The sequence below is a fragment of the Homo sapiens genome, chromosome 15 (genome assembly GCF_000001405.40).
Source record: "Homo sapiens chromosome 15, GRCh38.p14 Primary Assembly".
In the NCBI taxonomy this organism is placed as follows: Eukaryota; Metazoa; Chordata; class Mammalia; order Primates; family Hominidae; genus Homo; species Homo sapiens.
The window spans coordinates 85,128,386-85,140,546 of record NC_000015.10 but is presented as its reverse complement, the minus strand read 5'-3'; the positions used below and the strand labels follow the sequence as shown (position 1 = coordinate 85,140,546).

The window sequence follows — 12,161 nt, the reverse complement described above, 5'->3', positions numbered from 1 at the left end:
TTTCTTTTCCATTTTTCTCTCTGTGCTGTATTCTAATTGAGTCCCTTCATTGTCTTCCAATTTACTAATTCCCTCTAGTTACGTCTGGTCTTCTGTGACACCTAGACATTGAAGTTTTTTGTCTGTTTCAGTGACTATAGTCATCATCTCTAGAATGTCTATTAATATGTTTTTTTGTCAAATCTATTATTTTATTTTTAAACTGTCTGTCTTGGTTTAGGTTTTTGTGTGTTTTTTTTTTTTTTTTTTTTTTTTTTTGAGACGGAGTCTTGCTCTGTCGCCCAGGCTGGAGTGCAGTGGCGCCATCTCGGCTCACTGCAAGCTCTGCCTTCCGGGTTGATGCCATTCTCCTGCCTTAGCCTCCCGAGTAGCTGGGGACTCCAGGAACCCACCATCACGCCCGGCTAATTTTTTCTATTTTTAGTAGAGATGGGGTTTCACCGTGTTGGCCAGGATGGTCTCAATCTCCTGACCTCGTGATCCGCCCACCTCGGCCTCCCAAAGTGCTGGGATTACAGGCATGAGCCACTGAGCCTGGCCTGGTTTAGTTTCTTTTTCGCTTATCTGTTTAAGCATGTTAAGCCTACTCATCTTAAAGTCTCTTTCAGATTATTTGATAATTATTACCAGCTCTTGGTGATGCAAATTCCATATATTGCACACACTGCTATCTCTGCCTCAAGATGGTCGAGTTCTTCGTGTGGTTTGTTTCCTTTTTTCTTTGCACCTGGGGAGGGGACAGAACTGTCTTCCCCGCTCAGTCCACAATTACCATCTCAGGCCAAATATCTTAACACAGGACAAAGCCTTTGTTTCCTTAAACAGAAACTCCAAAGGGCTTGCCCTGTCAGCCCTCCAGTGCCCTGACATCTCTGAATGGGCACCTCGTGCCCAGGACCCATCTCTGAGAGCCCTGTCAGTTCTCCAGTGTGCCTCTTATCTCTCAATTCCCATTCAGAGGTACCAGGCAGTGAACTAAGGTTAATTCTGAGAACTTCTCAACATACTCATCTGGCCCTGTGTGACCTTGAAAAAGTCATTTAACTACCAGTCTTTTCTGTAAAGTAAGGAATATTCTTTCTTTTCTTTATGATTTAGAGACAGGGTCTTGCTTTGCTGCCGAGGCTGGAGTATAGTGGCATGATCATAGCTCACTGCAGCACTGAACTCCTGGGCTCAGGCAGTCCTCCCACCTCAGCTCCTAAGCAGCAGAGATCACAGGTGCATGCTAAATTTTTTGTAGAGATGAGGTCTTGCTACGTTGCCCAGGCTGGTCTTGAACTCTTAGGCTCACAATGTGCTGAGATTACGGTCATAAGCCACTGTGCCTGACCTTTATTTAAAAAAAAAAATATTATAAGTATTATGAGACAAAGAACTCTCCAAAAAGATGATAAAACATGATTTCTTAAAAAGAAATGGTTTAATTTCATTTTTATCTGGGAAAAAAACCACAAATACGAGTTTAAAATGAAATGACAAATACATTGACATGTCAAGTGTCATTTTTTATGGTATTATGCTTATTCAAGGTGTGAAGATACAGAACCTCTTTATAAATTTCTGGCATCAAAGATTCCCACCGTAGATAAAAACAGGTTGGTTATAAAATGTCAATTCATTAAATATTCAATTTTTGTTCTTTGTTTTTATAAGGAATATTTTGTAGAAACAGTATAAAATAGAGTAGACTTTTGGAAATTGAATTATAAAATTTTAGAAAAAAGTGTTAAGTCCTAACTTTTCTTTGCGAACCAACAAGAGAGTCTAGTTTTACCTTGGGGAGTTACCTGTGAAGTGCATTAGGCGGCTAGAGCTGTTTCAGAGCCCTGGGTTCTATACAGTAGAAGCAGCCTTCTTTAGCACTTAGAATACGACCCCAGCTTTTTCCAGTTAGCCTCAATCAGAAAAGTTTAACATACATGAATATTTCTATAGTGCAGTAAAAGTGTCATTTTATTAATTTGCATTATGAAAATAAGTCTGTATACCAAGTAATGCATAATGAATATGAATCATGTAAATTTGGTCACGGTATTTGAAGTTGGCTTTGGCTCTGAAGTATTTTTGAATTCATAGAAAATATTGAGCTTTTAATAAAATAAATAAAACATTTTAATTGATATTAATAATCAAGTTCAAATTTTAATTTTTCATCTGCTACTCAATTTTAAAAGAGAAGTCACTCTCAGTAGTGTTCCCAAGTGAGCGATTGCACCTTCTATGATGTGAAAAAGTTGCTAAAGATCCTATTGCCATTAGCCGTTCTTAAGTGCTGAACGTAACTGAGAGAATTGTTTGCAATAGACATGCTCTGTCACTGGCAGGAAGTCCATCAATACCCTTTGCAGGGGCACTCCAGACCTTGTGTTTTACCAGAAACTGAGGCAAACCGTGGTCCTCATGTGCCTTTCTGAAGAGCTCCTGCAGCAGGCCCAGGCTACAGTGGCCAAGTCTCACTTGACAGTAATGGCATTGGATGGTGGCTGCAGAAGGTTACTGATGTCCCCGTGGGCTTTCACAGGCTATGCAGATCGGGGGCTGTTCTGCCTAGTACTGAAAGGACCAAGGAGCTCTGGCTGCCCTCAGGAATTCCAAATGACCGAAGGAACAAAGCTTCAGGGCTCTGGGTGGTGTCTCCCACTATTCAGGAGGTGGTCGGAGGTTCCGCAGCTTCATTTCGTCCAGTCCTTTCCAGTATTTAAAGTTGTTGTCAAGATGCTGCATTAAATCAGGCAGGTCTACAAAGGCTGGAGAGAAAGATAGGAATGTGATATGCTTTCACAGCCTCTGTTTACATTTTAGGCTTTCACTAAGAGCATTTTAAAGAGTGACAGATGGGAGCAGGCATCTGCGTGAGGCTAAACAGACCCGGGCAAACACACCCAGCAGCTTCAACGAGCCGTGGCTGACTGAAGTTAAACCCTGTCCTCAATGCCAGCACCTCCTCTGTGACCACCTGCTGAGCTGGTAACTGTGGTAAATAAAACAGAAGGTGGCTAATCTGCTTAATTACCATTAAACCAGCAGCACCTTTGGGCCTGGGGTGTCAGAAAGCAGTATGTAGTGTGCCCCTGCCCCCCCGCCCCAACCGATGGCCTGGCCCTTGTGTGCTCACTGTCCCTTCACGCATGCTTCACATACACCAGCATCTCCTTTCACCTGCACCACATGAAGAACGTGCAGCCTGGGGACACACGCGTCTGGTCTCAGTCCCAGAAGCAGTGAGCTGCAGAGTATGCAGTGTCCCCCAAAGCTGCAGCTATCTAGCTCCACTGCTTCAGTCCTTCTCCCCAGCCGCCTACCCCTGTTCTACGGCCTTCTTGAGACATGGGTTTATTTCCTGACTGGATCTGGACATTTATCAGCCCTGTAGCCCCTCCTTCAAGGTGCAGCCCTCAGGACGAAGATGCACGTGGAATATCAGTTCTCCGATATTCTTTTATTTGACAGACTCCTGTGCCCCACCTGAAGTTAAAGGAGGGTGACATGCATCAGTCAGAGACAGACCAGTCCTTCTGGTCTTGTGTAGAGTGAGGCTGGGAGAAGCAGGGGACAGTGGAGGGCAAAGGGCTGCTGTAGAAACACCATGGGTTTTGGAGCCAGCACGATTGGTTTTGAACCCTAGCTGCTCTACTACAAGCTGTGGGGCCCCAAGTTCAATCCCGTCATCTATAAAACAGGCATAAAGACACCTATGCCTGCGGGGAGTGTTAAGAAAGAACACCTAGCCCTCAGGGGCCCTCGGTGATGGTTCACTTCGCTCTTGTTCTTGAAAGCCCAGGCCCCAAATCATATTCTACAGTCAAATGCACTCTGCTCTTTCATACGCGGTTCCCCATTATTTAGAGGAAAATATGCTATTTTAAGGAAGATTTCTTACCATCCCAAGCATCAAACATGTCTGTGATGAAGTAATCAATGAAAGAGATTTGGGATTTGGGGATGCTGCAGGTATTTCTGTCAAACACTGGCATCACCACAGGTAAGCCCTGCTGCTTCTCTTCATCAGTCTGTAAAGCAGAAAATGTGATCAGGAGACCCCAACATCTGGTTCCACTCCACCTAGGGGCAGCCCCTCCCCCAGGAAGAGCTTCTCCTGGCAGCCTAAGGTGGCTTGTCATGGTGAGAAGCCAATCACCACCTCACGCAGCCAAACCATGTCTCATAACAGATACCAAGTTCTCAGAATGAGGACTACTCCATGTCAGTGGGGTCTGAGGACACCCCAACTCAAGCCAAACTTTAAACATCTGGAAGCCTCCTTGCAGAAGCTCTTCAGGTAAGATCCCAAACATTATGTGTAGTCAGCCACCGCTCTGTTGTTCGTATTGACCTAAAGAAACTGAGGCAAAATTAATATACAGAGTTTACAGGCTACTGGCCTAGAGTCCACAGAGCAGGCGATTACTTAGGTCAGGGTGGGGAGTGAGACGTAACTGCTGTCACATTTCAATGCCTCTCTGGGTCTGACAACTAAGGGGGCTCACATCCCTCAAAGAAAAAGATCTGTTCTTTTCTCACTCCTATCACAGTCCAGCCGTCCTTCCACCTGGCTTGAAGCATCCCCACACAGGGGCCACTTTACAAGGAAGGGCCTAGTGGCTGCTTCTCATCTATGGCTAAATTATTTTTTTGAAAAGGTTCTGAACACCCTTGAGATCCTGGATGTTTAAAAAAAAAAAGAGCTCTGAGTATTTATGTACTTTAGTCAAACTCTTCCACATCTTCAGGATTTCAGAGAGACTCGCAAAAAACTAAAAACATAATTAAGAACCTGAGGAAAAAGGCAAGCGTCCTGTTCTTTCTTTGATAAGGTCTCATTTTGGCCCAATGGTGCTGGAGAAAAGGGTGAGGTAAGGTCCATGGGGTGGGAATGAGGCCAGAAGTCCTGAGTGCATTCTTTAGAAGCCCCTGTGGATGTGCAACCGGAATCGCTGCAAGATCCCTGCTGTGCCAGGGCGCCTGTGCTGGGAGTCAAGTCAAACAGTGGGGCAGGATGAGAACAGGGTGAGCGCAGATGGAGTGAGGTAGGAGTGGGCTGGGGGGAGCAGCTCTTCTAGATGGGACCCTAGTACATGTGTGGGGCCGGGTGAAGGGATGGTGGCTGTTGTATTGAACACTAGCCTTTCTCCCCAGTGCCAGGGCTGGAGGGGGTAGAGCCAGCCCTCTGGGGGTCACTCTGGGAGGGCCTGAGGAGGTGTTGGGCCAGGTGTGGTAAGGGAGAAGGGTAGCTGAGTGCACAGAAGAAAGGCTAACCACTTGCTAACCACTGAAGTCTCGTCCCACTGTTGGCCACTCACAAGACGTGTCTTCTACACTCACAGCCGAACTTCCAGCTCCCAAATGGCCAGCAGAGCTCACCCCATCACAGCCAGGCTCTGGTAGCTGGCAGAACTCACTCGCAGCTCCTCCCCTTAGCCCTTGCTCCACAGGGCCTCACCATGGCTGCAGCACCTCGCCCAGAACGTTCCCATGCTTGCACTCACAGGCCCTCCAGGGGATGCCAGGTCAGAAAGTTCTCTCGTCCCAGCATCTCTCTCCCCCCACCGCAGCTCTACGGCACCAGCTCCGGCACTTGCGTGGAGCTCCCTAAAGTCGCTGACTCCATTGCCTTTTTTCTGTGCACTCAGTCACCCTTCTCCCATCTTCCTTACTACACCTGGCCCAGCACCTCAGGCTCTCCCAGAGTGACACCCAGAGGCCTGGCTCTACCAAGTATTTCTGCACCTTGCCCTGTGCACAACAACTCACTCCGGCTCTCCATATGGGCTCTCTACTTGAGAGAAGCAGGCGAACCTCTGGAGGTTTTCCTAGGATGGCACCATACCTAGCACAGTGCCCAGAGGTGCGTGTATGCTAGGTAAGTGTTGACGGTGCTGGGGACAAGTGCCAAGAAAGTCAGGTGAACAGTGCTAGACTGTGGGACTGAGCAAAAGTCAGAAGAGTTCCTGCTGTTCTGGTGGTTCAGCATATGGGATTCACGTGCTTTGGTAAGAGGAGTGGGGAACGCTGGCCCAGCATCCGCTGGCTGTGGTGAAGGCCCTGCTGTTGGCAGCCCCACTGCTGTCTAAGAAAAGCAGTCAGCCCTACACGAGTCTCTGCCATGGTATAGAGAGGAAGGGGTGGGGGCGCAGGGAGGGCCTTGGGTTCACACCCCATGGGCCTGTCCAGCTCAAACAGCAGTGCCCTGGGCGGGGCGCTCTCCTGATGTGCCCTCCCTTGGTCACGCTAGACCCTAAGCCAGCTCTCTCTGGGCAGCCATGGCAAAGGCTCCGTTAGCTCAGCCACTCAGTCATCCAGAGGCTGTTCTGTCTTTCTGCTCTCAGGGCCTGCCCTCCCTATTCACATGTAAGCAGCTGGCTGGCTGAAGGTCAGTGAAGACCCTCGTGCTTAGATTTCTTCTCTTTGGCCCAATGTGACAAGTGCATGGAACGTCCAGGGGCCCCCGTTCCCTCCTGGAGACCAGCAAACTGTGGCCCATGCCCTCATCTAAGTCACCAGTGAGAACTCCACACCTGTAGATGCTTCCTTTCTGTGACCCCACCTGCAAGGCAGGGTCTACAAGTTTCACATTTCACCGCTGTGCCCCAAGCGAAAATAAAAGACTGTACAACACCTGGCACAGAGCCAGGCAAGTGGTACTCAAGCCCCACTCCCCATGAAGTCAAGCAGCCCCAGCCAGAGACAAACCAGAGATGCCTCTTCACCTTGCTTCAGGCCCTGGCACTCTTAGTATCCATGCTATTCAAGAGACAGGGTGGCTATAAGGGGTGAACTTGCAAACCTAACCCCACTGAATACAAGAAGCAACTGTATCTTAATGTCTTAATGACTTTAAAATCAAAGCCTGAGCACCGGAGTAACATCAGTAATATGGGGGACTAGGAAGCTCCAAGTCCTCATTTCTCCATGAAATGAGAGACTGGCTAAAATAACCTTACAGGAACTCTGGAAAACAGTCAAAAGTCTACAGCAACCAAGTGAATGCCCACTCAAGAAAAGCCACATTCAAAACAGCAGGAAACTTAAGGGTATTTTCACTCAACCTTGCACCACACTTCCCCAGTGTGGTACAATCTTGGTCTGGAGGAGGCAGCGGCCCAGTTTCCAGCTGTGTCCCTTGAACCGGAGGGAGCAGAGCAGACCTTATTTGCAACATTCTGACAAGTCTGTGGGCTGCCTGAAGGATTGGTCTCTGTTTCACTTAGCTCCCAGGTAGAAAAGCAATGACTACTGCTCAGGAAAGCTGCAGGGGGATGACCAATATGGATGCCTGAAGACAAGAGATTATGAGCGGAGACCAACAACAGATCATCTAAGGCCCTGAGGATAACCTCAGACAAGACACTTCAGGAAATTAAGACATCTGAAAGCAGCTGTGTATATAGGGGAATTAAGAAGAGTATGTATATGCAGACCCAGACAAGACATGCTCAGAAAATGTTTGAGAAAACTTTAAACTTTCATGATGGGTTAATTGTAAGGCTGAGAGACAGTTTTCAAAGACTAGGAGAGGTGGCTGTTTTTTAAAATGCCTAATTTTCAACAAAAATCACAAGGCATACAAAGAAACTAGAAAATATGGTACACTCAAAGGAAGAAAAGAAACTGTCCCTAAAGATGTACAGGCACTGGACAAAGACTTGAAAACAACTGTCTTAAATATGCTCAAAGACCTAAAAACACACACACACACACACACACAGACCAGGAACTATAGGAAATGACAGGTGAACACCACAGTGAGAATATCAGCAAAGAGAGAAATTATGAAAAGTAACCTAACAAGCCAGGTGCGGTGGTTCACACCTGTAATCCTAGCATTTTGGGAAGCTGAGGTGGGTGGATCACCTGAGGTCAAGAGTTTGAGACCAGCCTGGCGAAACCTCATCTCTACTAAAAATACAAAAATTAGCTGGGCATGGTGGCGGGCACCTGTAATCCCAGCTACTTGGGAGGCTGAGGCAGGAGAATCACTTAAACCCAAGAGGCAGAGGTTGCAGTGAGCCAAGATGGCACCATTGCACTCCAGCTTGGGCGACAGAGCAAAAACTCCATCTCAAATTTGAAGGCTGAAAAATACAAAAAACAAATTAAACTTCACCAGAGGGGTTCAGTATCAGATATGGGCAGACAGAAGAAAGAAAAAAGAATGAAGAAAAGTGAATAGAACCTAATGAATTTATGGGAAACCATCAAATGGACCAATACACATCTTATGAGTTCAGCAAAAAGAAGAGGAGAAGAGAAGGACAGAGATTATTTGAAGAAATAATAGCCAACAGGCACAGTATTTGTAACCTCAGCTACTTGAGAGGCTAAGGCAGGAGGGTTTCTTGAACCCAGGAGTTCAAGACCAGCTTGGGCAACATAGTGAGACCCCATATTTGAAAAAATCTTGGCCAAAAAATGCCATAATCTGGGGAAAGATATGAATCTACAAATCCAAGAAGCTAAATAAACTCCAAGTAGGATAAACCCAAAGAGATCTATCTGAGACACACTATAACCAAACAGTCAAAAGACAGAGGATCTCGAAAGCAGCAAAAGAAAAGACTCATCACATATAGGAGATAATAAGATGATCTGCTCATTTCTCAGCAGAAACCTTGAAGGCCAGAAGGCAGTGAAATTATATATATGAAGTGCTAAAAGATAAAAAACTGTCAACTGAAAATTCTGATTCAGGCAAACTGTCCTGCAAAAAAGAGGAATTAAGACATTCCTAGATAAACATAAGCCAAGGGAATTCATTACCATTAGACCTGACCTACAAAAAATGCTAAAGGAAATCCTTTAGGTTGAAATAAAAGGAAGCTAGACAGTAACTTGATATAAAGATCTCTGATAATGGTAAATACATGGGAAAATATAAAAAGCAGCATTATTACAATTTTGTTTTGTAACTTTACTTTTAAAAATGCATAAAAATAATTTTAAATGTTAATGGACATATAATGTATAAAGATATTACTTGTGACATTTACAAAATGGAGTGGGGTGGTAGAGCTATATAAGAGTTCATGTATGCAATTAATGTTAAGTTGACATCAAAACCAACTGTTGTAACTTTAGGTTGTCCTATGCAATCTCTATGGTATCCACAATGCAACTATCTATAGAAAAAGGGAATCAAAATGTGCCATTACAAAATATCAAATAAGCACAACAGGAGGCAGTAATGGAGGAAGAGGGACAAAAAAGCTGTAAGACATACAGGAAACTAACAAAGTGGCAAAAGTCTTTCCCTATCAGTAATTATTTTAAGTGTAAATAGATTCAACTCAAAAGCCACAGACTGTCAGAATGGATAAGAAAACATGATCCAACTACATTCTATCTACAAGAAAATCACTTTAGCTCTCAAGACATACATATGTTGAAAATGAAAGGATGGAAAAAGATATCTCATGAAAATAATATCCAAGAGAGAGCTGGGGTGGGTATCCTAAAAGACAAAATAAACTTTATGTCAAAAACTGTTACAGGCCAGGCGCGGTGGCTCAGGCCTGTAATCTCAGCACTTTGGGAGGTTGAGGTGAGCGGATCACCTGAGGTCAGGAGTTAGAGACCAGCCTGACCAACATGAAACCCCGTCTCTACTAAAAACACAAAAATTAGCCAGGCATGGTGGTACGTGCCTATAATCCCAGCTACTCAGGAGGCTGAGGCAGGAGAATTGCTTGAACCTGGGAGGCAGAGGTTGCAGTGAGCCAAGATTGTGCCACTGCACTCCAGCCTGGAAGGACATTAATAAAAGGGTCAATTCATCAGGAAGATATAATGATTATAAGCATATAAGCATCAAATACCAGAGTTCCAAAATATATGAAGCAAACATTTATAGAACTGAAGGAAGAAACAGATACTTCTAAAATAATGGCTGGAGACTTCAATACTACATTTTTATAATGAATAGAACAATGAGACAATAGAGTTTGAACAATGCTCTAGGCCAACTGGACCTAACAGAATGTATAGAACATCCACCCAACAACAGTAGAGTATACATTTTTTTCTCAAGTGCAAATGGAACATTCTCCAGGATACAACATATGATAGGCCACAAAACAAACAGTATATATTTTAAAAGGTAAGGTCATACAAAGTACCTTTTCTAATAACAGTGAAATGAACCAAAACTCAGTAATGGAAGGAAAACCGGGAAACTCACAAGTATCTGGAAATTAAATAGCATATGCTTTGATATGGTTTGAATGTCTGTCCCCTCCAAATCACATGTTGAAAAATAATCCCCAGTGCTGGAGGTGGGGTCTGGTGGGATGTGTTTGGGTCATGGGGGCAGATCCTTCGTGAATGGCTTAGTGGCCTCCCCATGGTAATGAGAGATCTTGCTCTGAGTTTACAGGTAATCTGGTTAAAAGTGTGGCAATTCCCCCTGCTCTCCTGCCATGTGATACATCTGCTTCCCCCTTCCTTTGCTCTGATCATAAGCTTCCTGAGCCCTCACCGGAAGCTGAGCAGATGTTAGTTCTATGCTTGCACAGCCTGCAGAACCATGAGCCAAAATAAACTTTTCTTTATAAATTACCCAGCCTCAGGTATTCTTTTATAGCAATGCAAATGGACTAATATACGCTTAAACAACCAAGGGGTCAAAGAAGAAATCATAAGGGAAATTAGAAAATACTTTGAGACAAATGAAAATGAAGCACACTATGCCAAAAGTTATTAGATGCAGCAAAAACAGTGATAAGGGGGAAATTAACAGCTGTAAATGCCTACAAGATTTTAAATCAACAACCTAACTTAACATGTTATGGAGCTACAGAAAGAATAAACTAAACCTAACGCTAGCAAAAGGAAGGAAATAATAAAGAACAGAGGTATATAGAGAACAGAAAAAAACAAAACCAAAAGATAATTTTTTGAAAAGATCAACAAGATTGACAAATCTTTGGCTAGATGGACTAAGAAAAAAAGACAAGACCCAAATTACCAAAATCAGAATGAAAGTGGGAACATTACTCCAGGTTTCATAGAAATAAAAAGGATTATAAGAGAGTACCATGAACAACTGAATGCCAACACAATGGATAAACTCCTAGAAACATGCAACCTACCAGGACTGAATCATAAAGAAACAGAATCTGAATAGACCAATGACTAGCAAGGAGATTGAATCAGTAATCAAAAACCTCCCAAGAAAGGATGGTTTCACTGGTTAAATTCTACCAAACATTTTGAGAAGAATTAATATCAATCCTTCTCAAACTCTTCCAGAAAAACTGAAAAGGAAGGAAGTACTTCCTAACTCATTCCATGAGGCCAGCATTATCCTAATAAAGCCAGACAAAGACACTACAAGAAAATTGCAGGCCAATATCCCCTGTAAATACTGATGCACAAATCCTTAATAAAATACTAGCAATCCAAACTCAGCAGCATATTAAAGGATTATACACAATGACTATGTGGAATCTATTTCTGAAATGCAAGATTGGTTCCGCACATGAAGATCAGTGTGATATACCATATGAAGAGAATGAAGGGAAGAAAACCCAGATCTAAAATGGTAAATTTTACCATAAAAAAGGAAGAAAAAAGAAACTGCTAAACTGCTTCCCAAAGTGACTGTAGCATTCTACACATCTATCACAAATGCATGCATTCTAGTTGCTCCACATCTTCAACATTTGGTGTTGTCAGCCTTTCCCATTTTTAGCCATCCCATTGGGTGTGTAGTGGTATTTCACTGTGGTTTTAATTTGAATTTCCCAGATGACTAATGATGTTCAGCACTTTTTTCATGTGCTTATTGGCTTTTCATAATAGCTTCTTTGGGGAAGTGTCTGGACAAATACTTGCCTATAATAAATTGGGTGGTTTATCTTTTACTACTGAGTTATAGTTCTTTATATATCTATGGATACAGTCCTTTCAAATATAATTTGTAAATATTTTCCTCCAGTATGGCTTGCCTGCTCATTTTCTTAGCTGTGTTTTGAATGAGCAAACTTTGTAAATTTTGAAGAAGTCTAATTTATCAAATTTTCTTCTTATGGTTGTTGCTCTTTTCTTTTTATTAAGACACAGTCTTGCTCTGTCACCCAGGTTGGAGTGCAGTGTACAATCATGGCTCACTGCAGCCTCAACCTCTGAGGCTCAAGCAATCCTCCTGCAACTGGGACCACAGG

General features: G+C 43.7%; 1 protein-coding gene and 1 long non-coding RNA gene across 10 annotated transcripts in view; one reads left to right on the top strand and one right to left on the bottom strand.

Moving 5' to 3' along the window:
* Positions 1,035–4,016, top strand: LOC124903545 (uncharacterized). The gene is made up of 2 exons (XR_007064746.1): positions 1,035–1,221; positions 2,806–4,016. It is a non-coding gene; the product is annotated as an uncharacterized LOC124903545 (long non-coding RNA).
* PDE8A (phosphodiesterase 8A) overlaps positions 1,405–12,161 on the bottom strand; it is a 158,676-nt gene continuing 147,919 nt past the window's right edge. For all 9 annotated transcript variants that reach the window (NM_001243137.2, XM_047432657.1, NM_002605.3 and 6 more), the window contains 2 exons: positions 3,884–4,013; positions 1,405–2,750 (listed from right to left, as the gene is read on the bottom strand). In NM_001243137.2, coding sequence (NP_001230066.1) covers positions 2,644–2,750; positions 3,884–4,013 — 237 coding nt within the window. In that variant the 3' untranslated portion in view covers positions 1,405–2,643. The remainder of the gene's footprint in view (positions 2,751–3,883; positions 4,014–12,161) is intronic.